Source organism: Homo sapiens, chromosome 6 (assembly GCF_000001405.40).
Source record: "Homo sapiens chromosome 6, GRCh38.p14 Primary Assembly".
NCBI lineage: Eukaryota > Metazoa > Chordata > Mammalia > Primates > Hominidae > Homo > Homo sapiens.
In genome coordinates this window covers 17,573,831-17,599,582 of record NC_000006.12, presented here as the reverse complement: position 1 = coordinate 17,599,582, position 25,752 = coordinate 17,573,831, and the positions used below count along the sequence as shown (strand labels likewise).

General features: G+C 41.8%; 1 long non-coding RNA gene and 1 pseudogene across 4 annotated transcripts; one reads left to right on the top strand and one right to left on the bottom strand.

Annotated features, from left to right (window-relative positions):
* The first annotated feature begins 606 nt into the window (after positions 1-606).
* Positions 607-13,792, top strand: LOC102724591 (uncharacterized). 4 transcript variants are annotated; one of them, XR_007059482.1, is made up of 6 exons: positions 607-830; positions 7,533-7,650; positions 8,325-8,392; positions 9,628-9,779; positions 11,533-11,907; positions 13,696-13,792. It is a non-coding gene; the product is annotated as an uncharacterized LOC102724591 (long non-coding RNA). The 4 variants fall into 4 exon arrangements; XR_007059483.1 differs by lacking the exon at positions 7,533-7,650 and adding an exon at positions 3,607-3,712; XR_007059484.1 differs by lacking the exon at positions 7,533-7,650 and having other exon boundaries at positions 8,358-8,392.
* SUMO2P13 (SUMO2 pseudogene 13) lies at positions 17,278-17,549 on the bottom strand (annotated as a pseudogene).

Here is a 25,752-nt window from a genome sequence, read left to right as displayed (position 1 = left end):
GCTCCAGGGTGAGGACAGAATCTAGCTTTTAAATCAGTATAATCTCTCTTCTTTTACATTTGAAAATCTCTGCAGCGATATGTTATTGTATCCCCAGCACCATACAAAGGACATACAAGGGCCAAATACTGTGGGAATATTTATTAATGATATTAATGATGATGCTGTCCGGGCCAAAGGAAAACTTCCGCTTCACCTTCTGAAGTTTCGCTGAAAGTCACTGACAGGAGGCAGTTAATAGGAGAAAAGACATAGACATTGATTTGACCATCGTTTTATGTGACACGGGAGCCTTCAGAATGAAGACCCAAAGATAACAAGGGAAATCGTGTATTTGTATGCTTAGGTTCAACAAAGCATGGACAGCCGTATAAAAAAATGACTGGACAAGGCCGGGCGCGGTGGCTCACGCCTGTAATCTCAGCACTTTGGGAGGCTGAGGCGGGCGGATCACAAGGTCAGGAGATCGAGACCATCCTGGCTAACACAGTGAAACCCCGTCTCTACTAAAAATACTAAAAATTAGCCAGGCGTGGTGGCGGGCGCCTGTAGTCCCAGCTACTCAGGAGGCTGAGGCAGGAGAATGGCGTGAACCCGGGAGGCGGAGCTTGCAGTGAGCCGAGATTGCGTCACCGCACTCCAGCCTGGGCGACAGAGCGAGACTCCGTCTCAAAAAAAATGACTGGACAAAAAACACTCTGATGCAAACAGGCAAGAAACCCAGCAAGGCCTATCTGGATTCTCCTTGGCCTGTCTGCAGCATTCATTCCTTCTGGGTATGGAACAGGACCCTCTGGAATGGGGGCTGTGGCCTACAACAGTTAAACAAGGTAGGTCAGATAATTTTTCTTTTCCTTCTTTTTTTTTTTTTGACAGAGTTTTGCTCTTGTCGCCCAGGCTGGAGTGCGATGGTGCGATCTCGGCTCACTGCAACCTCCCCCTCCCAGGTTCAAGTGATTCTCCTGTCTTAGCCTCCCGAAGTAGCTGGGATTACAAGCGCCCGCCATCACGCCCAGCTAATTTTTTTTGTATTTTTAGTTGAGACGGGGTTTCACCATGTTGGCCAGGCTGGTCTTGAACTCCTGACCTCAGGTGATCCACCCGCCTCGGCCTCCCAAAGTGCTGGGATTACAGGCGTGAGCCACTGCGCTCTGCCAGATAATTTCTCTATGTCCAATATTTGCACAGAAAGGGGTGCAGGGAGGTTAGAGTAATATTTTTAGGTTTGTGGCTGGCTTTGGGAAAGGGTGGGGTTTTGGTTTCTATGCCCTGCTTTGGGAAAGACGGATTCCAGTTTCTATGACTAGCCTTGTGGGTGGGGGTGGGGGGAAGAATGGGATTGAGACAGGAGGGTTGGAGAAGGTGGGAAAAATCTTTTGCTTCTGAGGTCTTCATTTTGGGGTATGGTTTTCTGAGTTCCAACAATGCCCAGGGTCATTCTTTTTTTTTTTCTTTCTTTGTTTTTTTAAAGACAGGGTCTCACTCTGTCACCTAGGCTGGAGTGCAGCAGTGTAGGCACTCCTCACTGTAGCTTTGACCTCCCAGGTTCAAACTATCCTCCCACCTCAGCCCGAGTGACTGGGACTACAGGCACGTGCCACTGCCCCCGGCTCATTTTTTTCATTTTTTGTAGAGATGGGGGTCTCACTGTGTTGCCCAGGCTGGTCCCAAACTCCTGAGCTCAAGCAGTCCACCCGCCTTGTCCTCCCAAAGTACTGAGATTACAGGTGTGAGCCACCACGCCCAGCCCCAGAGTCATTGTTGGCTTTATTCTGGGAGATATAAAAAGCCATAATTTTTTTCCTTAAAAAGCTAATGATCTAGGTTCAAGGGACAGACTGTCAAGAAAACTGAAAACTTATTCAAGAATTCAAAATAAGGGAAAGATTATGGTAGCCTATAGCTAGAAAAGTTTACCCTTACAGATTTCATTTTAAAATCAACTATGAGAAAATTTTAATGTTTAAACAAGCATTCCAAGTTGGGGTGAGGGAAGAAAGAGAAACAGAAACAAAGAAATAAATGTGGCTTGGAATGAGTGAAATATGATTATTGGAGACATGGACTTTGTTTTGAATACCACTGTTTCTGTAACACCTGGCACAGTGTCACTGTAAAGATATAAAATGATATGAAACATGAAACAGCAAAACAAGCCAGAAGAAAAACTCAGGAATGAAGTAACAGAACTTGGGAAAGAGTTAGAAATAAAAGAAAAACTGATTTCAGAAAAGAGGACTAAAATACAAGGAATAAAAGAATAAGAAAATACAATAGTGTCTGAAAAGAACTACAATTTGAAAATGAGTTTTTTAATCAAAAATAAATGTAAACAGAAATAATTTGAGAGAAATGATAAATATTGAAAATAGGCAAAGAAGATCCAACATATAGATTAGAAGTTCTTGATAAAGAAAACCCAAGACAGGTAACAGAACTAATTATAACACATTATAATTCAAAAAAATTTTTTTCTGAAATACATATATATATGTGTCCTAACATTACACACACACACACACACACACACACACACACACACACTCTCAGAGTCATGAATCACTTAACAACAGGGATATGTTCTAAGAAATGCATCATTAGGCGACTTTGTCCTTATGGGAACACCATAGACTGTACTACTTACACATACCTATATGGTACAGCCTACTATATACCTAGGCTATATGGTATAGCCTATTGCTCCCAGGCTACAAACCTGTACAGCATATTAATGTACTGATTACTGCAGGCAGTTGTAACACAGTGGTATTTGTACATCTAAATATATCAAAACATAGAGAATACAGTAAAAATACAGTATAAAGGGTTAAAAATGATACACCTGTGTAGGGCACTTACCATAAATGGGGCCTGCAGGACTGGAAGTTGCCGTGGGTGAGTCAGTGGTGAGTGAATGTGAAGGCCTTGGACATCACTGCACACTACTGAAGACTTGATACAAAACTGTACACTTAGGCTACACTAAATTTATTTAAAATTTTTTTTCTTCCATAATAAATTACCTTTAGTTTATTGCAACATTTTACCTTATAAAGTTTTTGATTTTTTAAAAACTTTTCAACTCTTTTGTAATAACACTTGGCTTAAAACGCAAACACATTGTACAACTGTACAAAAATATTCTTTGTATCCTTATTCTATAAGCTTTTTATTTTTAAAGTTTTTGATAATTATTATTTTTTTTTACTTTTTAAGCTTTTTTTGTTACAAATGAAGACACAAACACACATTAGCCTAGGACTACACAGGGTCAGGATCATCAAAATGTCACTAAGTGATTGCGACACTGTACTCCAGCCTAGGTGACAGAGCAAGACCCTGTCTCAAAATAAAATGAAATAAAGATGTCATTAGGCAATAGGAATTTTTCAGCTCTGTTATAATCTTGTGGGATCACAGTGGTATATGACATTCATTGTTGACCAAAATGTCGTTATGCAGCACATGACTATATACATATATCTATATGTATATAGATATATAGATATATAGTATGAAATGCCAAGTCCCACTAAAAGAAACAAGGGGTTCTAGGTTTAGGGCAGGAAATGTATGGAATGAGCACGAAATATCTTATTATACTAGAGAGCAGAGAAATGATTAAAGACTTCTGGAGTCATGTCCAAAGGACCCAGCCAACTAGAAGAGGCTCCTATTGGCCATGGATAGGACAATTTGAGTTTCAATAAAGGTAATAATTAGAATGGACTGAAACCCATCGTATATGTTTAAATATATAAATTCATAGTAACGTGTAGTTTTACCAAAGGGATTAAACCTGAGTGTGCTCAAGCTTCTTGATCCAACTGCCAGTTTACAGAAATAGAGGACAAAGGAGCATATTGAAATATGCCATGAGTGTGCAATCTGCAAAATCCAGACCATGGGGAACCCTGCAAAGTAAACAACTGGGTTATTCAATATATATATTATAAGTGGGGGGGGGGGAAGAAATAGAACCTATAGCTTAAAGGAGGCATAAAAGACATTAAATTAATGAGCAAGACTATAATGTCTAGGGATATACTTAAATGCAAAAAGAAGTGGTTATTTAAAAAGTCAGGGTAGTGATGGGGGTGAAAGGAGTTTGTGATTGGGATGGAGCACATGGACAGGCTTCTGGTGTGGCTGACAAAGTTCGATTTTCTTGGTTTAGGAAGTGATTACAAGGATGTCCACCTTATAATAAACCATAAAGCTGTTGAAGAAACTGACAAAAATGAGGAGTTTTCTACTCATATACCCTCACTCTAAACTCCAAAAGATAGATATAGATATATATAGATATATATAGATATATACTTCATAAGAAGGAAATGCAACTGAGAAGCATGGAGTGAGATGCAAAAATAAATGACTTTATGAAAATTAGACCCTGCAAGACTAATTCCTGAGTTAAACAAGTTTGAGAAAAATAGTCTGTAAAAGCACGACGAATTGACCGCATGTACTTATCTCCCTTCCAAAACACTCATTGAAATAAAACAAAGGAATAAAGTTACAAACCTACAAGGTAGATGTATTTTTGCAAGGTAGAAGGTCCTTGAGTGAAGGAGAGGTTCAAAACTTGGAGGTATATGGTACTTTGGAAATTGGAAGTAAAGCACAGTGCTTAAACGAAGCAGATTAAACAAAAGTCTGTATGCTGAATAGTGGCTCCTCATCCTCCAATTTTTCTCCAGCCCTGCTCTTGGAATAACTCCTAAGCAGATACTGGAGTATTCTTTCAAGAGACTCAATGGTCCCAGAAAATAACCTTTTTTTATGGTGCTATTTGGAGTCCAGAAATAAAAAGTTTGTTTTGCCAGTTTATCACTCTACCCTGGAACTTACCAGCAACTGGCAGATAAAAAAATAACAGAGTAGGCTGGGCACAGTGGCTCATGCCTGTAATCCCAGCACTTTGGGAGGCCGAGGTGGGCAGATCACAGGGTCAGGAGTTTGCGAGCAGCCTGGCCAATATGGTGAAACTCGGACTCTACTAAAAATACAACAATTAGCTGGGTGTGGTGGCATGTGCGTGTAGTCCCAGCTACTCAGGAGGCTGAGGCAGGAGAATCGCCTGAACCCAGGAGGCAGAGGTTGCAGTGAGCTGAGATCACACCACTGCACTCCAGCCTGGGTGACAGAGCGAGACTCCATCTCAAAACAAACAAAAACAGAGTATCAGTAAGAAAAGAAGTCTTAACAACAAAAATAAAATCTATAAATTATGATATGTTTGATCTTTTGAGAATAATATTGAGCATTTCACAAATTTTAAAAAATAGTTGGATAGATATGCAGAGATTTAAAAATATTTAAATATTTAAAAAAAGAAAAGCAATCACTAACACCAGGAAAAGCAAAAACAAAACCAAAAAACCCCAAAACAACAACCCAAATAAGGAAAGAAAACAGTCATAAATTCCTTGGCTCATCATTGAATAATATTTACAGTCAAAGCAACAGCAATACTACTATTTTTTTTTTTTTTTGAGATGGAGTCTTGCACGGTCACCAGACACGTAAAAGTAAGGCTGGCATCAGGTATGGCTGAATAGAGAGGGTTCAAATAGTGTCATCAGGATCTGGTTTCTGTCTTAGCAATGCAGACTCTCCTGTTAGGATCAAAAGATGGCTTCAGCCTTTACATTCTTTTTATTTGTTTGTTTATTTATTTATTTTTTTGAGATGAAGTCTCGCTCTGTCACCCAGGCTGCAGTGCAGTGGTGCAATCTTGGCTCACTGCAACCTCGGCCTCCCGGGTTCAAGCAATTCTCCTGCCTCAGCCTCCCGAGTAGCTGGGATTACAGGCGCCTGCCACCCTGCCCATCAGCCTTTACATTCTCTTTATATTTTTAGTCTTGAGAAGAAATGAGCTTTCCTTCTGGGTGAAAAGCTGTGGGCTAATAAATGAAGCCCAAGTCCATTAAGGGACAGGAGAGCCAAGGAAAGAAAACAGGACCAAGTGAGAAGAGAGAAGAGAACAGAAGAGAAGAGAAGGAGGAAGGGGGAGGGGGAGTAAGAAAGAAAGAGGGAGGGAGGGAAGGAAGGGAGAGAGAAAGAAAGAGGGAGAAGGGAGGGAGGGAGGGAAAAAAGAGAAGAAAGAAAAGGAAAGAAAAAGAAAAGGAAGAAAAGAAAGAAAAAGGAAGAAAAGAAAGAAAGAAAAGAAAAAAAGACAAACATCTAAAATGTAGCAGAAAAGTTAAGCAAAATGGAGGTGGAGAAAAGCCCACAGAACTGAAGAGGAACTTACTGACTTGGGGAGAACAGGTCTATGAAGTGGTGGAAGCCAAGTTGATCTATTGCAGTGATTTTCAACCTACATCTGGAAACTTTTTAGAAGTGCAGATTCTTAGGTCCCACATCTCACCTTCTGAATCAGAAACTTTGGACCTGGGGCTCACCACTCTGTGTTTTAACAAGACCTCCATGTGATTCTGATGAACACTAAAGTTGGAGAACCATTGATCTAGGCCAGTGGGCTTTCTTCGTTGGCAGTGTAAATTGGTAGAATCTCTATGTAGGGCAATTTAATAGTATCAGTCATAATTAGAAATGTGGGCCAGGTGTGGTGGCTCACACCTGTAATCCTAGCACTTTGGGAAGCCGAGGCAGGAGGATTACTTGAGTCAAAGAGTTCAAGACCAGCCTGGGTAACACAGTGAAACCCTGTCTCTATAAAAAATTTAAAAACTAGCCAAGCGTGGTGGTGGATGCCTGTAGTCCCAGCTACTCTAGAGGCTGCAGTGGGAGGATCTCTTGAACCTGAGACGCTGAGGCTCCACTGAGCTGTGACCACACCACTGCAGCATTATTTGATTGTGAACTTAATATAACTAGCAAGCTGGTAAAACCTGTAGTGGCATATCTATACCGCAGACTGCTGCATACCACCTACAACCCCACCGGTCTCCCTGCCTCCCATCTTCTTCAGTCTTGACCTGCTCCAATTCATTTCCTGCACTGTTACAGCGAGATCCTCTACATTCAGATAATCAGTTAAGAGATTTTTCCTGAGTCCTGCCCTTTGCTTCTCCAAGTGGTTGATACTGGAAAAGATGACCCTCTTCCAAGCGGATCAGGTCTTTGTGCAGAAGCATGCATTTACTAGTCTCAGTAACAGAGCTACATTAGAAAACTTCTGTAATTGTTATTCAATGTTTGGGATTTCAGATCCAAGCTAGAACATTTTACTGCAAACACATTGGATACTTTTAGCTAATATAGGAAGCAAAATTGCAGAAAGTTGGCTTGGTCTTTATTGAATCCTTACTTGCTCTGGCCTCTGAGGTTTGAGAGCAGAGTGAGAGGGGGACAGGGACCATTTGGGTGTGTAGTTGAACAGCTTTTGTTTTTTACTGCCCAACATCCTTTCCACCTTCCAGGAACAGCATCTTGCTTATGCTTAGGAAAACTACCCCTCTCTCATTCTTTTGATTCTTGCACAGATGGAACCGTCAAACCCGATTCCACCTGCCTGCTCCCTCCTCCTTGGATATAGGCCAATCAGATTTTTGTCTCTATAGAATCTGAATCTCGAATGATGACTGCAAGTGGTTGAAGATCCATCATTACTCTTTCTTCAGAGTATCCCTGGTTCCTGATCATTTCAAGGCCCAATTTTTTACCTTTCCCTTTGATTATGTGAGTGAACCAATATCTTATGGTATTTTTTTCCTTATTATCCAGAGTCAGATTCTTTGGATTGTAACCAAAGAATTGTAACTATAACAGGATCATAATCACAAGAGGGTGTACCAGCTGAACCATATGAAATAGACTTCTCTCTTCCTATTTAGCATCTCTTTGGAGAACAGTGCCACCCCGCATTCTTAATCTATGTGGTTCAGATGAAACTGACTCCACCCTTATGGTCCTGGAAGTAGGCACAAGAGAGAATTGCATCCCCCTAGCCACAGGTTCAGGGATAAGAATATGATGTGATTGGGCTACATAGAGACATCTCTGGGATTCTGTAGCAACTGAAAAGAGATACTTTCTGTTCACTGGACTGCTAGGTACATGTAAGGATGGGATGGGCCTATAGCTGCTGGTGGCTATTTTTGCTGCCACATGAATTAACCTTACGGGAAACTGAAACCAACACACAGAAAAGTGGAACCAAGAGATGGAGAAACAAAGGAAGTTCCCTTATGACATATTTCTGTCCTGGATCCAACTATGCCTGAAACCATATTGAATTTTAATCTTGAAATATAGAGTTGCTTAAGCTTTTTCCTTTGTTTCTGTTACAGTCAAAAGAATCCAAACAGAGTAGGATTCTAAAATTCTTTACATTATTTCCCTTTCCTTGTCAGTGAACTAAAGGGCTCCCAAAATCTCTCCTGCAGCATTTTCCTTGAGAAGGAGGAAGGTTTGCATCTCTGTAAGTATAGGTTGAGTATCCTTTATCTAAAATGCTTGGGACTAGAAGTGTTACGGATTTCAATTTTTTTTTTTTTTTTTTGGATCCTGGAATATTTGCATATATGTAACGAGATATCTTGGGGATGGAACTCAAGTCTAAACATGAAATTCATTTATTTTTATTTATATATATATTTTTTGAGATGGAGTCTCGCTCTTGTCATCCAGGCTGGAGTGCAATGGCACCATCTTGGCTCTCTGCAACCTCCACCTCCTGGGTTCAAGCGATTCTCCTGCCTCAGCCTCCCGAGTAGCTGGGACTGCAGGCATGCGCCATCACACCCAGCTAATTTTTGTATTTTTATTAGAGACGGGGTTTCACCATGTTGGCCAGGCTAATCTCGAACTCCTGACCTCAGGTGACCCGCCCACCTCAGCCTCCCAACGTTCTGGGATTACAGCCGTGAGCCACCATGCCCGACTCATTTATGTTTTATATAACCTTATTAACATAGCCTGAAGACAATTTTATGTAATATTTTGCATAATGTTGTGCCTGAAAGAAAGCTTGAGTACATTGATCCATCAGAAAGCATAAGTGTCACTATGTTAGCCACCCATGTGGACAGTCTGTAGTTGTTTGGCATCACCATCATTCCTGACTGAATTTATGTGCTACTGATGAGCAATCATTTTTTTATACTTAATTCAAACATAAGTGTGTAATAGTAAAAAATATGACATGCTGTTAATGAAAAAACGGGAAAAATTTTAGTGAAAAAAATAATGAGTAAAGGTTAAGTAAGCAGCACAGTAGCACCATCAGAATACCTGAATAGCTGGAAACAACAACAAACGATGGTAGGCTTTTAGTATCCACTACAATGCTGTTTTGATTAAAAGGTTATTGCATGGCTAGGCGTGGTGGCTCATGCCTGTAATCCCAGCACTTTGGGAGGCCGAGGTGGGTGGATCACCTGAGGTCAGGAGTTTGAGACCAGCTTGAGCAACATAGCGAGGCCCTGTCTCTACAAAATATTTAAAAAATTAGCCGGGCATGGTGGCCACACATGTAGTCTCAGCTACTCTGGAGGCTAAGGTGGGAGGATCTCTTGGGCCCAGGAGTTCGAGGCTGTAGTGAGCCGTGATAGTGCTGCTGCATTCCAGCCTGGGTGACAGAGCAAAAACTTGTCTCAAAAAAAAAAAAGGCTACTGCACACTGTACCCTGTATTTTTGTATTTTTTTTTTTTTAGGTGAGAAGAAACATCAGAAGCAGTTGAAAGACCAGGATGTGGGTCCTCTGGGGCTGAGGAGGCATTCTGAATCAACTGTGTGTTCTACACCTGTGTTTTAACTGTGACCTGTCACATGAGGACAAGTGTGGAATTTCCCACTTTTGTGCCATGTCAGTGCTAAAAAAGTTTTGGATTTTGGAGCATTTTTAATTTCAGATTTTTCAGACTAGGAATGCTCAACCTGTATTTCCTCTCAACAAACTTCCTTGGAGCTGAGTCATAAAATATTCAAGTGCTACCATCTGGCGTCGCTCTTGAAGGCATTCCTCATCATTGATTACAAGGCTGTGCCTGTGTCATAGACCAGTGATGCTCATGCTTTTCCCTTGGAGGAGGAGCTATTTGCCACCTGGGCATTCTGCTCAGCCACACCGTAGGAGTCTGCTCTCATTCCCCTGTAGTCTGTCTGCAGTCATTTCAGGAATGCTCTGCACCAGTGGTTCTTGATTCTGACTGCACACTAGAATCTTGGAGGAGTCTCTAAAAAACACCCATGTCTAGGCCCACCCCTAAAGATTCTGATTTAACTGGCTTTTTTTAGGACCCCACCATCCATATTTTCTAAATACCCTCCAGGCAATTCTACTGTGCAAGCAGAGTGGAGAGTCACTGGCATACACTGTGGCTCGAGATAGCCCCAGCTGGTTCTAAACAGAGTGACTCTGTTTTCCCTGAGTTTCCTCGGCTGAGTGTGTAGACTTTCTCTACCCACTCTAGTCACAAATTCACTTCTGTACTCATTTACTAAGCATTTTAAGTGCTGGATACTATGACAGGTATTGGGAATGCAAAGATGAGTGAAACACCATTTTGGTTGTTGAGAGTATGACAGACTAGATGGGAGAGACTGCCAGGTAAACAGGTACGGGGGTCAAGTGTGAACCCAAAGGAGGGAGTGGTCAGTTCTACCTTTGAGAGACAGAGGTGACAACTGGGAAAGGCTTTAGAGAGGAGGTGGCTTTGAGTTGAGCTTAAAAGTATTATAAGAACATGGGCCGGGCACGGTGGCTCACGCCTGTAATCCCAGCACTTTGGGAGGCCGAGGCAGGCGGATCACGAGGTCAGGAGATCGAGACCATCCTGGCTAACACGGTGAAACCCCGTCTCTACTAAAAATACAAAAAAATTAGCCGAGCATGGTGGCAGGTGCCTGTAGTCCCAGCTACTCGGGAGGCTGAGGCAGGAGAATGGCATGAACCCGGGAGGCGGAGCTTGCAGTGAGCCGAGATCGCGCCGCTGCACTCCAGCCTGGGTAACAGAGTGAGACTCCGTCTCAACAACAACAACAAAAAAGAACATGGTAGATGGCTAGGTGTGGTGGCTCACACCTGTAATTCCAGAGCTTTGGGAGGCTGAGGCAGGAAGATTGCTTGAGCCCAGGAGCTAGAGACTAGTCAGGGCAACATAGCATGACCCCATCTCTATGAAAATTTTTTAACAAATTAGCTAGTGGAGTGGTACACAGCTGTAGTCCTAGCTACTTGAGAAGCAGAGGCAGGTGGATTGCTTGAACCCAGGAGTCTGAAGTTACAGTGAGCTATGGTCACACCACTACACTCCGGCCTGGGTGACAGAGCAAGACCCCATCTCTAATTTAAAAAAAAAAAAGAGAGACAGAGAGAACATCGGAGGGAAGCCGATTTCAGGGGAAGGGCAACATGGGCAAAGTTCACGGAAATAGCCAAGCTGATACTTACGGTGTGAGGTAGATCTGAATAGAGACAAATCTGGAAAAGTAGGGAGGGGTTGGTTTATATAGGGCTTTGGTCCCATGTGAGGGAGTTTGCACTTTATCCTGTAGACAGCAGAAGTTATAAAGGGCTTTAACGAGGGAGATAAATCTGGTCATATTTGTTTTTTCAGAAATCTCTCTCTGGGAACAGTGTGGAAGATGGATTGAAATGGTGTAAAATTGAAGATGTGGACTCCGGTTGGGAGACTACACCCTAGATAAGATGAAGAGAACTTGAAGCAAGACAATAGCAATGGGAATATAAAGGAGAGGAGACATTTGAGTGAAATTAAGGAAGCACAATCTGCAGACTGTTTTCTTTTTTTTAAGAGTCAGGGTCTCCCTATTTTGCCCAGGCTGGTCTCAAAGTCCTAGGCTCAAGCGACCCACCCACCTCAGCCTTCCAAAATGCTGGAATTACAGGGGTGAACTGCCTCACCATGCCTCAGTCTGCAGAATTTGATGACTGAATGTATTTGGAGAGAGTCTGTGGCTTGGATGACTGGGTGAGTGGATTGTGATGCCGTTCATGGAAATGAAGAAGGCAGAGGAAGGGAGAGCAAGAGGGTGGAAGTGGGGCAGTGGGGTGCTGGTGGGCCATCCAAGGGACACCAGCTGTTGAATATGTTGCATCTGTAAAGATACAGATTGATCATTCAGAAATAAAGAAGAGAAAAAAAGCAAAAGCAAAAAAAGTTTTAAAATAAAAAAGAATACAGATTGAGAGAGTCATAGGCATACAGATGGCCCTTGAAATGACAAGTAGATGGAAAACAATGAAACAAGAAAAGAAAGCCAAGAACAGAGAAAAAAAAACAGAGATGGAGAAGGAATAGTTAGTGAGGTCGGTAGGAAAGTAGGATTGAGTGGGAAGAGAGACTTTCCATAAGAAAGGAGTCATGTTAGGGTTTTCCAGAGAACCAGAACCAATACAGTGTGTGTGTGTGTGTGTGTGTGTGTATATGGGTGTGCGTGTATGTATATGTGTATATATATGGGTGTGCGTGTGTATGTGTGTATATATATGGGTGTGCGTGTGTATGTATATGTGTGTATATATGGGTGTGCGAGTGTATGTATATGTGTATATATGGGTGTGCGTATGTATATGTGTATATATATGGGTGTGCGAGTGTGTATATGTATATATATGGGTGTGCATGTGTATGTATATGTGTATATATATGGGTGTGCGTGTGTATGTATATACGTATATATATGGGTGTGCGTGTGTATGTGTGTGTATATGAGTGTGCGTGTGTGTGTATATATGGGTGTGCGTGTGTATGTATATGTGTATATATGGGTGTGCGTGTGTATGTATATGTGTATATATATGGGTGTGCGTGTATGTATATGTGTATATATAGGTGTGCGTATGTGTATATATATGGGTGTGCGTGTATGTGTATATATATGGGTGTGCGTGTATGTGTATATATATGGGTGTGCGTGTGTATGTGTATATATGGGTGTGTATGTATATGTGTATATATATGGGTGTGCGTATGTGTATATATATGGGTGTGCGTGTGTATGTATATGTGTATATATATGGGTGTGCATATGTATATGTGTAAATATATGGGTGTGCGTATGTATATATATATATATGGGTGTGCATGTGTATGTATATGTGTATATATATGGGTGTGATTCCCAGTCCAAGGTCAGAAGACCAATGTACCAGCTCAAGCAGGCAAGCAGGAAACAAAAAATGGAAGAATTCCTCCTTCCTCCACTTCTTGTTCTGTTCAGGCTCCCAACAGATTGGATGATGCCCACACACATTGAGGCGGCCAACCTGCTTTACTGAATTCACCAATTCAAATGCTAACCTCATCTGGAAACACCCTCGCAGACACACTCAGACACAACGTTTAATCTGGGTGCCCCTTGGCCAGTCATGTTGACACATAGAATTAACCATCACAGGAGTTACATCTGGTGTGAAAACCACAAAGAAATCAGGAAGGATGAAAACTGTGGTGGACATTTTCTCTTTTGACCACACTACCTCTTTTTTCCCCCCTTCTTTTGGAGAGAGAGAATTTCCACTTAACTCTTCCCCCAATGTGTGCACCTGTGCTAAGACTCTCAGGGCATTCTGCACTGCTCACTCCAAGCCACCAGGTGGGTATGTGGCCCGAGCTCAGCAGATTGGACTGACTTATGAGGACTTGGAAACTTGAGCCAAGTGATCCAAGGATGGAATAAATGTAGTGCCAGCAGAGGGCCCTTATCTGATAAGAGTGTTGATTAACTCTTGCTACCTATGCTTCCTTTAATTTCAGGAGCTGTGATTGGTTGATTGATTTTGAGGCGGAGTTTCACTCTTGTTGCCCAGGCTGAAGTGCAGTGGCACAACCTCTGCTCACTGCAACCGCTGCCTTCCAGTTTCAAGCGATTCTCCTGCCTCAGCCTCCCAAGTAGCTGGGATTACAGGCGCCTGCCACAACGTCTGGGTAATTTTTGTATTTTTAGTAGAGATGGGTTTCACCATGTTGGCCAGGATGGTCTCGAACTCCTGACCTCGTGATCTGCCCGCCTTGGCCTCACAAAGTGCTGGGATTACAGGCGTGAGCCACCATGCCTGGCCTATTATTTTATTTTTTGAGATGGGGTCTCGCTCTGCTTCCCAGGTTGGAGTGCAGTGGCATGATCATGGCTCACTGCAACTTTGACCTCCCCAGGCTCCGGTGATCCTCCCACCTCAGCCTCTCAAGTGTCTGGGATTACAGGTAAGTGCCACTATGCCTGGCTATATTTTTGTGTGTTTTTTTTGTAGAGACGGAGTTTCTCCATTTTGGCCAGTTTGGTGTCGACCTCCCGGGCTTAAGCGATCCACCCACCTCAGCCTCCCAAAGTGTTGGGATTACAGGCGTGAGCCACTGTATCCAGCTTGTGATATACTTTTAATAAATTTCTCTTAAACTTAAATTAGCAAGTGCTTGTTTATCATCCTTCCAATTAGAGAACCTGGATTCGGCCATTAGGAAGTCAAGGGTGGCATTCATTGGGAAGTTTCATGGGGTGAGAGGTGAAAGGCTGGCTGATGGGGGAATGGAAGTGAGAAGTAGAAATAATTGCATTCTAATCTTTAAGGAGTTGTTTTTTGGGGGAAGAGAAGCTGTTAAAGAAGTAGCGAACTATTTTTAACCACGCTTGAACCCATCGTTTGATAGGGTGACTGAAAAGAGAGTTCCTGAAACTTGGGCAGCCATAAATCTATTGTTTTGTTATGAATTTCTCTAATTTTTAGTGAGATAAACTTACTTTTAGTTTATCAACATATTTCAACTATTCTTACTAGTCATATATGGCAACCCTGCCCCAAGATGTCACATTGGTCTCTAAAGTGTTTCCTTCAGAGTAAGGTTCATCTGATTTGATACACTGATAGGAAGCAAGTTGTAAAAAATAAAGCCACTACGGAAGGCTTCTTTTGTAAATAAGATACCCAAGCACCAAATCAATGATTACACTGAAAAATAACTTGATTTTGGTACTAACTTTTGGAAATACACATAAAATAGGCTTTCTCTTCTCCAGCCTAACGTGGATTGAATTGCTATACTGTGTAATGATTTTCTGCCCCCTAATGGTTGTTCAAAAGCATTAAGAAATTTGTCATCTGCTTGAAAACATTTTCTATTATAAGAAAATATTTTCTTTATAGCACATTTTTAATTTTATTTTAGGAATTCGAAATGACTTAGAAATGTGTCATCATTCACAAGAGGCCCGTGTTACTCTTAAAAATAGGCCGATCTCATAAAACAACTGCGAACCTCATTATATAATGTGAACAGACAGGATTTTAGGCAACCAGTAGGTGGAGGAATTTCCAAAGCTAAGAACACCACAGGCTCCAAAACCCAACTTCAGAGCTGAGGGCCTTAAAGTAATCTGTTCAGCCTTCTCCGCTTTATACTAATAGAAGACTGTGGAGCAGCTCTGAGATATATGCTCATAGAAGTACATCGCCCATGATATTCTGGCAAAAGGAAAGACTATTTTAGATTAGGATTGGATTTTACTTGTGAAATATGAGATTGGGGCCAAGAGAAAGCATTGCTTTGGGTAGGGATAGCATGAGATTAAAAAACTGAAAATAAGTCGAGTGTGTGAAGAAAATGACTGTGACATACGAGAGGAAGGAAGCCAACAAGAGAGTGCCGTGGGTAGATGCTAGAAAGGGTGACATCATGCAGAAAGGTCAGGGAGGGAGGCTGAGTTTGGCTTTGGTCCAGTCAGCAATAGAAGGCTATTATGAAAGACAAACGTAAATATTTGTAAAATATAGTGTTGGTACAAACAAATATAAAAAAACATTGAGTTGCTTCTGCTGCTCCTTCCTTTTTTAGACCTGGAAACAATGAATCCAGAGGGAACAGCCACAGACGCTCCTGAGCACGTCAGTTTAGGCCTTCTGTGCCTAACGCAATTTCTTCCCTTAGAATTTGACCCTTGCCTGTGTCACCCAGCACTCATCCCATACCTCCTCCTGACCTCCCTGCAAGGTGGAGCCCACCAACCTGATCGCTGATCTTACCCTCCTCGTTAAGACTTACTCTATTACATCATCTTATCATTGACATGAAGTGGAGACCCAATGCCTGGCCAGTCTGAAGCTGTACACACGTAGGACATTAACTGAAACCTCAACTAAACCTCATCAAATTCCCACTTACTCTGGCTCCCCTTTCTCTATTTTTTAATTAAAAATTTTTGTATTATTCCTATTCTATTTTCCTGCAAACAGAGGCCCCCCTTCTTCTTGCACTCAAAAAATTCCACAATTCTCCTGGTTTCTTCATTTTCCCTCTTTTCACAGGCCTATATACTCTTCCATGTTTAATATCCTGGCTCATTTTATTCTTACTAACCATGAGAACTTATCTTTTTTATTCAATAGACTGTCCTCACTCTTGATCAATTTTATGCACTTAAATAGGCCATGTCATGTTTTTGCACATCAGACTGGAAAAATGACTAAGAGAGGTGGTATCCAGAGTTGACGAGGTTTGGAGAAAAACAGGTTCAGTCATTTGTGGAAGTATAGGCTTAGACATTTTTCGAAGGATAATTAGGCAGCATCCACCCAAATTCAGAATATCTGAGCCTTGTGAATCCTTAATCCTTTTAGAAATCTACCTTACAGAAATATGAGCACTAGAATAGAGCAATACAAGTCAAGCGTATTTCCTGTAGGATTATCTACAAAAGCAAAACAAAGAAAATAAATGAGACAGCCATCAAAAATTCAAAAATTAGAAACCAGAATGATAATACTTTTTTTCATTTAAAACAAGGAGTTTAAACAAGATGCTTAACTTGAAGGGAAAACTAGGATTCTTTGTTTTAGAGTAATTTATCCCTAAAGACAGATTGCCCTACACGTAACAGCTACGTACAAAAAAGTATAAAATTGTCCTTGGTTTTACAATGGTAAATGAAAAACATTAAAATTCTCCAACTGAACAAGGTATGCAAGGATTTTTTTTATTTTTTTGTTAAAATAGTGAGAGCAAAATAACTTACTGGAATATAAACGTAAGAGCCGACTGAGCATGCCACTAATGGAGAAAATGGGGTATTTCCACAGCCTCAGTGTTTTTCCCCATCCCGTCACCACTTGATGTCAATCGAAACATACCATTGGCTGCTTGGTTAAAAAAAAAAAGGAATATGCTTGTGCACATACACCAGTTACGTTATGTACAATAAAGAAATGGGGAAGGGGGAAATGAAAGAATAGAGAAAGCTATATTATAGTACTCACGATGTGGTGGAACCAAATCGGTTTTCTAATTGCGAATGTAATCTTGGTCTTTAAAGTTAACAGTTCTGGAGTGAAGAACCAGGTTCTCTCTTCAGGAAACACCTCCTGTCTGCTGTTGGAGCATATCGATTGTATCTTCATCCTCCAACTGTGTAGGTGTTATCTATTTCATTGATGGGTTGCCCATCAAATCAGAATCTGACCTGCCTCATTGACAATCCCTGTCATTCACAATAGGCTTTAATTAGTTTACTAAGTGGTGCATACCTCTTAAAGTGCACCCCAGAACCGCCCCGCCCCCTTCAAATTAATATGATCATTGTTCTCAGGCTCGACTCCTTCCTAGGGCTTTTCGTAGGCCATGGGAAACGCCAGAGTCTCCTCAGCTGCCCCTTCATAAAACAGGTATCAAGTCTGCACCGGATTGTGTCTGACATTTGTGAGTTCTCGGTCTCACCGACTTCAAGAATGAAGCCACACACCCTAGCAGTATTACAGTTCTTAAGGGCAGCATGTCTAGAGTTTGTTCTTTCTGATGTTCTGATATGTTTGGAGTTTTTTCCTTCTGGTGGGTTCAGTGGTCTCACTGGCTCAGGAGTGAAGCTGCATGTTTTTGCGGTGAGCTTTACAGCTCCTAAGGCGGCCTGTCTGGAGTTATCTGTTCCTCCCGGTGGGTTCGTGGTCTAGGATGGCTTCAGAAGTAAAACTACAGATCTTCGCAATGACTGTTACAGTTCACAAAGGCAGTGTGGACCCAAACAATAAACAATAACAAGATTTATAGCAAAAAGCAAAAGAACACAAGCTTCCATAGTATAGAACCAGCCCCTAGCCCGTTACCACTGCTGGCTCGGGCAGCCTGCTTTTAGTCTCTTATCTGGCCTCGCCCACATCCTGCTGATTGGTCCATTTTACAGAGAGCCGATTGGTCTGTTTTACAGACAGCTGATTGGTCCGTTTTGACAGGGTGCTGATTGGTGCATTTACAATCCTTGAGCTAGACACAAAAGTTCTACAGGTCCCCACTAGATTAGCTAGATACAGAGTGTGGACTGGTGTATTTACAAACCCTGAGCTAGATACAAACTGCCGATTGGTGCATTCACAATCCCTTAGCTAGACATAAAGATTCTCCAAGTCCCCCCCAGATTAACTAGATACAGAGTGCCCATTGGTGCATTCACAAACCCTGAGCTAGACACAGAGTGCTGATTGGTGTGTTTACAAACCTTGAGCTAGATACAGAGTGCTGATTGCTGTATTTACAATCCCTTAGCTAGACATAAAGATTCTCCAAGTCCCCACCAGACTCAGGAGCCCAGCTGGCTTCACCCAGTGGATCCTGCACCGGGGGCGCAAGTGGAGTTCCCTGCCTGTCCGGAGCCGTGCGCCCGCACTCCTCAGCCCTTGGGCGGTCTATGGGACTGGGCGCCGTGGAGCAGGGGGCGGCGATCGTCAGGGAGGCAGCTAAAGCCCCGCGAGAAATCGAGCACAGCAGCTGCTGGCCCAGGTGCTAAGCCCCTCACTGCCCAGGCCGGCGGGGCCGGCCAGTAGCTGCGACGGGCGGGGCCCGCCGAGCCCACGCCTATCTGGAACTCGCGCTGGCCCGCAAGCGCCGCGCGCAGCCCGGCTTCCCAGCCGCGCCTCTCCCTCCACGCTTCTCCCTCCACACCTCTCCGCAAACCGAGGGAGCCGGCTTCGGTCTTGGCCAGCCCAGAAAAGGGCTCCCACAGTGCAGCGGCGGGCTGAAGGGGCTCCTGAAGCGCCGCGAGAGCGGGCGCCAAGGCCGAGGAGGCGGCGCCTAGAGAGAGCGAGGGCTGCGAGGCTGCCAGCACGCTGCCACCTCTCAGAATGAGCATACAAGCAGCACCAAGAGCGGCAGAGAAAGCAATAGTACAATTTCTCAATAAATCTAAAAGCTAATTCTTTGAAAAAAAATATATATATATATACACATACAGGCTGGGCACGGTGGCTCACGCCTGTAATCCCAGCCCTTTGGGAGGCGGGAGGCGGGCGGATCACGAGGTCAGGAGATCGAGACCATCCTGGCTAACCCGGTGAAACCCCGTCTCTACTAAAAATACAAAAAATTAGCCCGGCGTAGTGGCGGGCGCCTGTAGTCCCAGCTAGTCTGGAGGCTGAGGCAGGCGAATGGCGTGAATTCACCCCGGAGGCGGAGCTTGCAGTGAGCTGAGATCGCGCCACTGCACTCTAGTCTGGGCGACAGAGCCAGACTAAGTCTAAAAAAAAAAACAAAAAAAAAACACAAATATATATATATACACACATACACATATATATACACACATATATATAGCGTGTGAAAGTCTAGTAATGTTAATTAAGAAAAAAATTATAACTATAGACATTAAGAATGAGAAATTGTATTGAAAATACTGAAACAGCGGGCGCGGTGGCTCATGCCTGTAATCCCAGCACTTTGAGAGGCCGAGGCGGGCGGATCACGAGGTCAGGAGATGGAGACCACGTTGAAACCCCGTCTCTAATAAAAATACAGAAAATTAGCCCGACGCGGTGGCGGGCGCCTGTAGTCCCAGCTACTCCGGAGGCTGAGGCAGGAGAATGGCGTGAACCCGGGAGGCGGAGCTTGCAGTGAGCTGAGATCGCACCACTGCACTCCAGCCTGGGTGACAGAGTGAGACTCCGTCTCAAAAAAAAAAAGAAAGAAAAAGAAAATACTGAAACAATTTTTTCAAAATAAAATGAAGTTGACGTTCAAGTTCATTCCAACAAATTTGAAAACCCAGAGAAAATAGGTTATTTCCTAGGAAAATGATAAATTGCCAAAATTGACTTAAAGACAAAAACCTAAAGACATTTATAACCACTAAAAAAATTAAAAAATCAAAATACTTGTCAAAAACAATTAACTTTTTATTTTTTCAGTTATTTTTAAATTATAATTTTATAGTTTTATTATTTGAGTTTTGAGACAACGCCTATATAATATTTGTATTTTGGAATTTGAGACATTAATTTTGAACTATTGCATGATGAATTTTTAAATATGTTCCATAAGATATTGGAAAAATGGGCTGGGTGTGGTGGCACACGCCTGTAATCCCAGCACTGGGAGGCCCAGGTGGGTGGATCACCTGACATCAGGAGTTCGAGAGCAGCCTGGCCAACATGGTGAAGCCCCATGTCTACTAAAAATACAAAAAATTAGGCAGGTGTAGTGGCAGATGCCTGTAATCCATGCTAATTGGGAGGCTGAGGCAGGAGAATCGCTTGAACCCAGCCTGGACAATAGAGCAAGACCCTGTCTCAACAAAGAGAAAAAAAAGATATTGGAAAAATGGTTTATATAATACTTGGAACTTTCTAGCTAATCTTTAAAAACCAGAATATTCCTTGTTTGTCTACCTATCATCTATTTATAATTATAAAAGTAATCCAAGCTTATTATAACAAATTTAAACCACAAAAAAAGACAATTGTGTTTGCACCTCAAAGGATTACCACTCACTGTTAAGTCAGTACATATCTTTCCACATTCTTCACTGCTTTTTCAAACATAAAAAATAAACTTTGAATGTTTTAATTCTTTAATGTTTGCTTTATTATAATTAATTTATTTTTCCTATATTCCTTGATTATGTTTCATTTCCTTTCCCTAAGTTTTTGGCTGGAATGCTTATCATTCTATAATCCTTTGTCACTAAGTTATTATTGTAATACCCACCTCTCTTCTTTGAATCAAAAATTATTTAAAAGAGTAAACTTTTTCAATGCCTGCATAACTTTGGTTAATTTTTTCTTCTGTTAGCTCTATTGTCTTGCACTCAGAGACTGGCCCATGTAATATTTACTTTTCAGACTCCAAGATTTTCACTTTATCAAATACAGGATTAAGTCCATAAGACAATGGAAAAACAACTATATTCTGTTTTTAGAGTTCCAATAATCTTTCAAATCAATCTTAATTATATAATTCTGATTTCTTGTATTGTAGTCCATTTTTTTCTGCCTAGTCAGTCTGTCAAAGACAGAAATATATATGATAACACACTACTTATATATTTTTAAAAATCCATCTTTTTGCATTTTTAATGGTTAATATACTTAATATATTAACAACTAATATATTTTCATGAAAAACAATTCAACACTGGCAGGTAGCATTCTAAGATGGTCTCTAAAATTCCTGGTGGCTAGTATACATTCCACGTAATAATCCCCTCTTCTTGAGTGTGAGAGAAATCTGGGAATGTGGGTGGCTATGAGTCCCATGATTAAGTTATGTTATATGGAAAAGTTGAAGGGATTTTGCAGATATAACTAAGGTTCTGAATCAATCAATTTTAAGTTGATCAAATGATAGATTATCCTGAGTGGGCCTGACCAAATCAAGTGAGACCTTTAAAAGAGAGTTGGAAGGTCAGAAATAGAAGGGGTTAGAGAGATTTGAAGTGAGAGAGAGCCCCATGCTGGCCTTGCGGAAGCAAACAGCCATGTTGAGAACTGCCTATGGGAGGGGCCGTGTAGCAAGGGCTTGCACACGGCTTCCAGGAGCTAAGAGTGATCCCAGCCAATATCCAGCAAGAAAGCAGACACCCCAGTCCTACAGTCTCAAGGAACTGAATTTTACTAATGTAGGATACAGTAAATTCCTCTTCTAAGTTTAGCCTGTTAACTTCCTTTAAAATTCAAGAGGAAGAAAAATTGTTAAGTACAATGAATTCTGAGTTCCTCTTCAAAAAACCAATATGTCAGTATGTTCAGCTTCCCTGTCCTTTGTCCTCCATTTTAAAGTTTAACGTCCTCATTCTTTACCCTCCTAGCCTCTATCACCTGTTCTGTCTTTAGGGATCCTTAGTCACATGCTCTGTCCTCAGCCATCCTTAGTCACCTGTGCTGTCCTTAGGCATCCTTAGTCACCTGTTCTGTAACCATGCCTCCCACCGAAACTACTCACCCCACCACTCTGGGTGGTACCCTTGCTCTCTTTAAAATAGCCAGTCAGCATTAGCTTAGACTGTGTGGTCCAACCCTAGCCAATAGGGGAGAGAGGCAGCAGTAGGGGCTAGCTGCATGCTTTAGGAATAAGACTCCCTTCCCCTCCCTTGTCTGGTGTGCTCTCGCCATTGCTGTATCCATGAGATGCACCCTTCTATAGAAGTAAATTGCCTTGCTGAGAAAACTTGCCTGAGTGCTATTTTCACTTGGTGGCACCAAGCATTTACTTCCAACACTAGTAACTTGAATGAGCTTGGAAGAGGATCCTAAACCCTAGATGAGTAGATGAGAACACACCTTAGCTGGCATCTTGATTTAATTTCAATTTTGTGAGATCCTAATAGTAACCAATACTTTTATAAGCACGCAACTACACTGGGCCCAGACTTCTGACCTATGGAAACTATGAGATAATAAATGAGTAATGTTTCAAGCTGCTAAGTTTGTAGTATTGTGTTATGCAGCAAGAGAACACAAATACAAACATATAAAGACTTCTGAGAGTTATATTTTTGGTGTTAATTAGATCTTTCATGATTATAAAATAACCTCTATTGTTCTGTTTAATATATTTGCTTTACATATTTTAATATTTTTGTTATTATACATATTACTAATATTGTGATTTCTGTTTTATTGGTGTTTGCTTTCATTTATTATCCCTTTGTCATCCTTTTAGTTCTAAAGTTGTGAGATACTTCTAGAAATAGTGTCTATATACATATATATATTTGTTTAATTGAATTTTTTGTATTTTCATGATATAATTTGTCACATTTTATTTATTGGTATCTCTTTTGATCTTAATTTTTCGTCTCGTGCTGTTATTTCTGTATCTTATTCTTTGTTCAGTTATTTTCTGTACTTTGGTATATAACTATATTTTTGTTTGTTTTCTCTTTTTCAGTGACTTTAGAAAGTATGCATTTAAACCTTGTTTTTAGGAATAAAAAAATTTACATTTTTCTAAAGGATTCTTCTACTTGTGTATTTTTTTCAAGGCAGGGACTAGGGCTCTTGTCCCCTTGTACCCTTAGTATCAATCACATAGAAATGTTTAAAAAATGTTTGATTGGCCGAGCATGGTGGCTCATGCCTGTAATCCCAGCACTTTGAGAGGCCAACGCAGGTGGATGGCTTGAGGCCAGGAGTTCAAAACCAGCCTGGGCAACATGGTAAAACCCTGTCTCTACAAAAAATACAAAAATTAGCCAGGTGTGGTCCCAGCTTCTTGGGAGGCTGAGGCAGGAGGATCACTTGAGCCTGGGAGGTGGAGGTTGCAGTGAGCTGAGATTGCACCATTGCACTCCAGCCTGGGTGACACAGCAAGACTGTCTGAAAATAAATAAATAAATAAATAAATAAATAAATAAATAAATAAATACAAAACATTTGGTTTGCTGAATTGAAATCACTAGGTTCTAAGCAATTGTGCTGGTAAGTAGCTTTTACCATTTTTTTTCAAATAAGCATTTAAAAATATTATTTGATTTTTCTCTTTGGGTTATATCATGTTCATGTTGGTTTTAAACCATATTCTTCATATACACTCTCTTGAAACAGACACCTGTAATCTGAAACAAAAAATAAAAATAACTTGATGGACTAGAATGTAATTACCTTCTTCTGATTTTTTTTCTTTACTTTTTTTTTTTTGAGAAGGAGTCTTGCTCTGTTGCCCAGGCTGGAGCAAAGTGGTGCAATCTCAGTTTACTGCAGCCTCCACCTCCTGGGTTCAGGGGATTCTCCTGACTCAGCCTCCCGTGTAGCTGGGATTACAGGTGCATGCCACCATGCCTGGCTTACGTTTGTTATTTTTAGTAGAGACGGGGTTTCAGCATGTTGGTCAGGCTGGTCTCGAACTCCTGACCTCAAATGATCCATCCAAGTTTACCTCCCAAACTGCTGGGATTACAGGCGTGAGCCACCGTGCCTGGCACTTTTTTTTTTTTTTTTTTTTTTAGAGATAGGATTCAGTCTGTTGCCCAGGCTGGAATGAAGTGACTCAATCATAGCTTATTGCAGCAACCTCTTGGCTTTAAATGATCCGCCTGCCTTGGTCTCCCAAAGTGCTGGGATTATAGGTATGAGCCACCGTGCCTGGCGACAATCTGTTTTTCTGATACATACTCACCTTACTTAATAATATATTGTGCACATTTTTCCAAGTTCTTGGAAGGAAGGTATTTCTGGTAATGGAACCAATAAATCAGAGGGTGCATGATACATAAATCCAAATTTGTAATCACTTAAGTACATTGTAAGTTTATTTCTCATGTAAGTGCCCACGACGAGTACAGGTCAGTGAATGGCTCTATTCCATACTGTGATTCAGAGACTGAGGCTCTTTCTAACTTGTTATTCTTGCATAACCAGAGTATACTGTCATCTGCATGATTTAGGCTGGTTGCCATGCCTAGGATCTGGCTAGTAGAAGGGAAAGGGAACATGGAGAAAATATACTGTCTAAAAAGACTAAGTCCTGAAGTGAGATTTACCACATTACTTTATACTCACATTCCTTCAGGGGGGATATAGTCACATGGCCATCCAACTGCAAGAGAGGCTGGGAAATGATAAGAAGGGGAGACTAGATTTTGGTACACAGTTTTGTTATATATTTGTTTAATTTCATATGTGAAAAAAATTTTAACACATTAATCTCATTGTAAAAGAATTGTCTTTGAAGGTATCACAGGCACTTGTCAAATGGGCACACCTCTAGTTAGTGGCAGATCCAGAATGGAAACAGATCTTTTGACACTGATGGCAAAGCTTTTTCTATTTTTTTTTTTTTTTTTTTTTTTTGAGACAAAGTCTCACTTTGTTGCTCAGGCTGGAGTGCAGTGGTGTGATCTCAGCTCACTTCAACCTCCCCCTCCCAGGTTCAAGCGAGTCTCCCGCCTCAGCCTCCCCAGTAGCTGGGATTACAGACGTGCGCCACCATGCCCAGCTAATTTTTGTATGTTTAGTAGAGACGGGGTTTCACCATGTTGGCCAGGCTGGTCTTGAGCTCCTGACCTCGTGATCTGTCCACCTCGTCCTCCCAAAGTGCTGGGATTACAGGCGTGAGCCACTGCACCCAGCCGGCAAAGCTGTTTCTAATGAATGATACGGACAGGAGGTTGGGAAATACTAAGCAGAAAAGGGCAGTGTCGCGGACAAAGCCCCATCCTCAAACCTGGACCTGCAGCCCAAAGCGAAAACATGCATTCCTGTTTTCCAGCTGGAAATGTTGCCTTTTCCAAAACCACCCTGGCCCACCCTATCCCCCATCCTGTACCCATAAAAAGCCAGGCTCCACTGGCAGAGAGGCAGAGAAGGAGAGAAGGAACAGCCAGACATTGGAGACAAGAGAAGCAGCAGCTGGACATCAGAGAGAAGCAGCTTGACTTCACAGGGATGGCTTAATGATAAGACCTTGGAGAAGAGTTTGGCCAGGGATGGCCAAACTCCAGGGGAAGACCACCTTCCCACTCCATTCCCTTTCTAGCTCCCCATCCAGCTGAGAGCCACTTCTACCGCTCAATAAAATCCTCCACATTCACCACCCTTCAATTCATTCATGTGACCTTATTCTTCC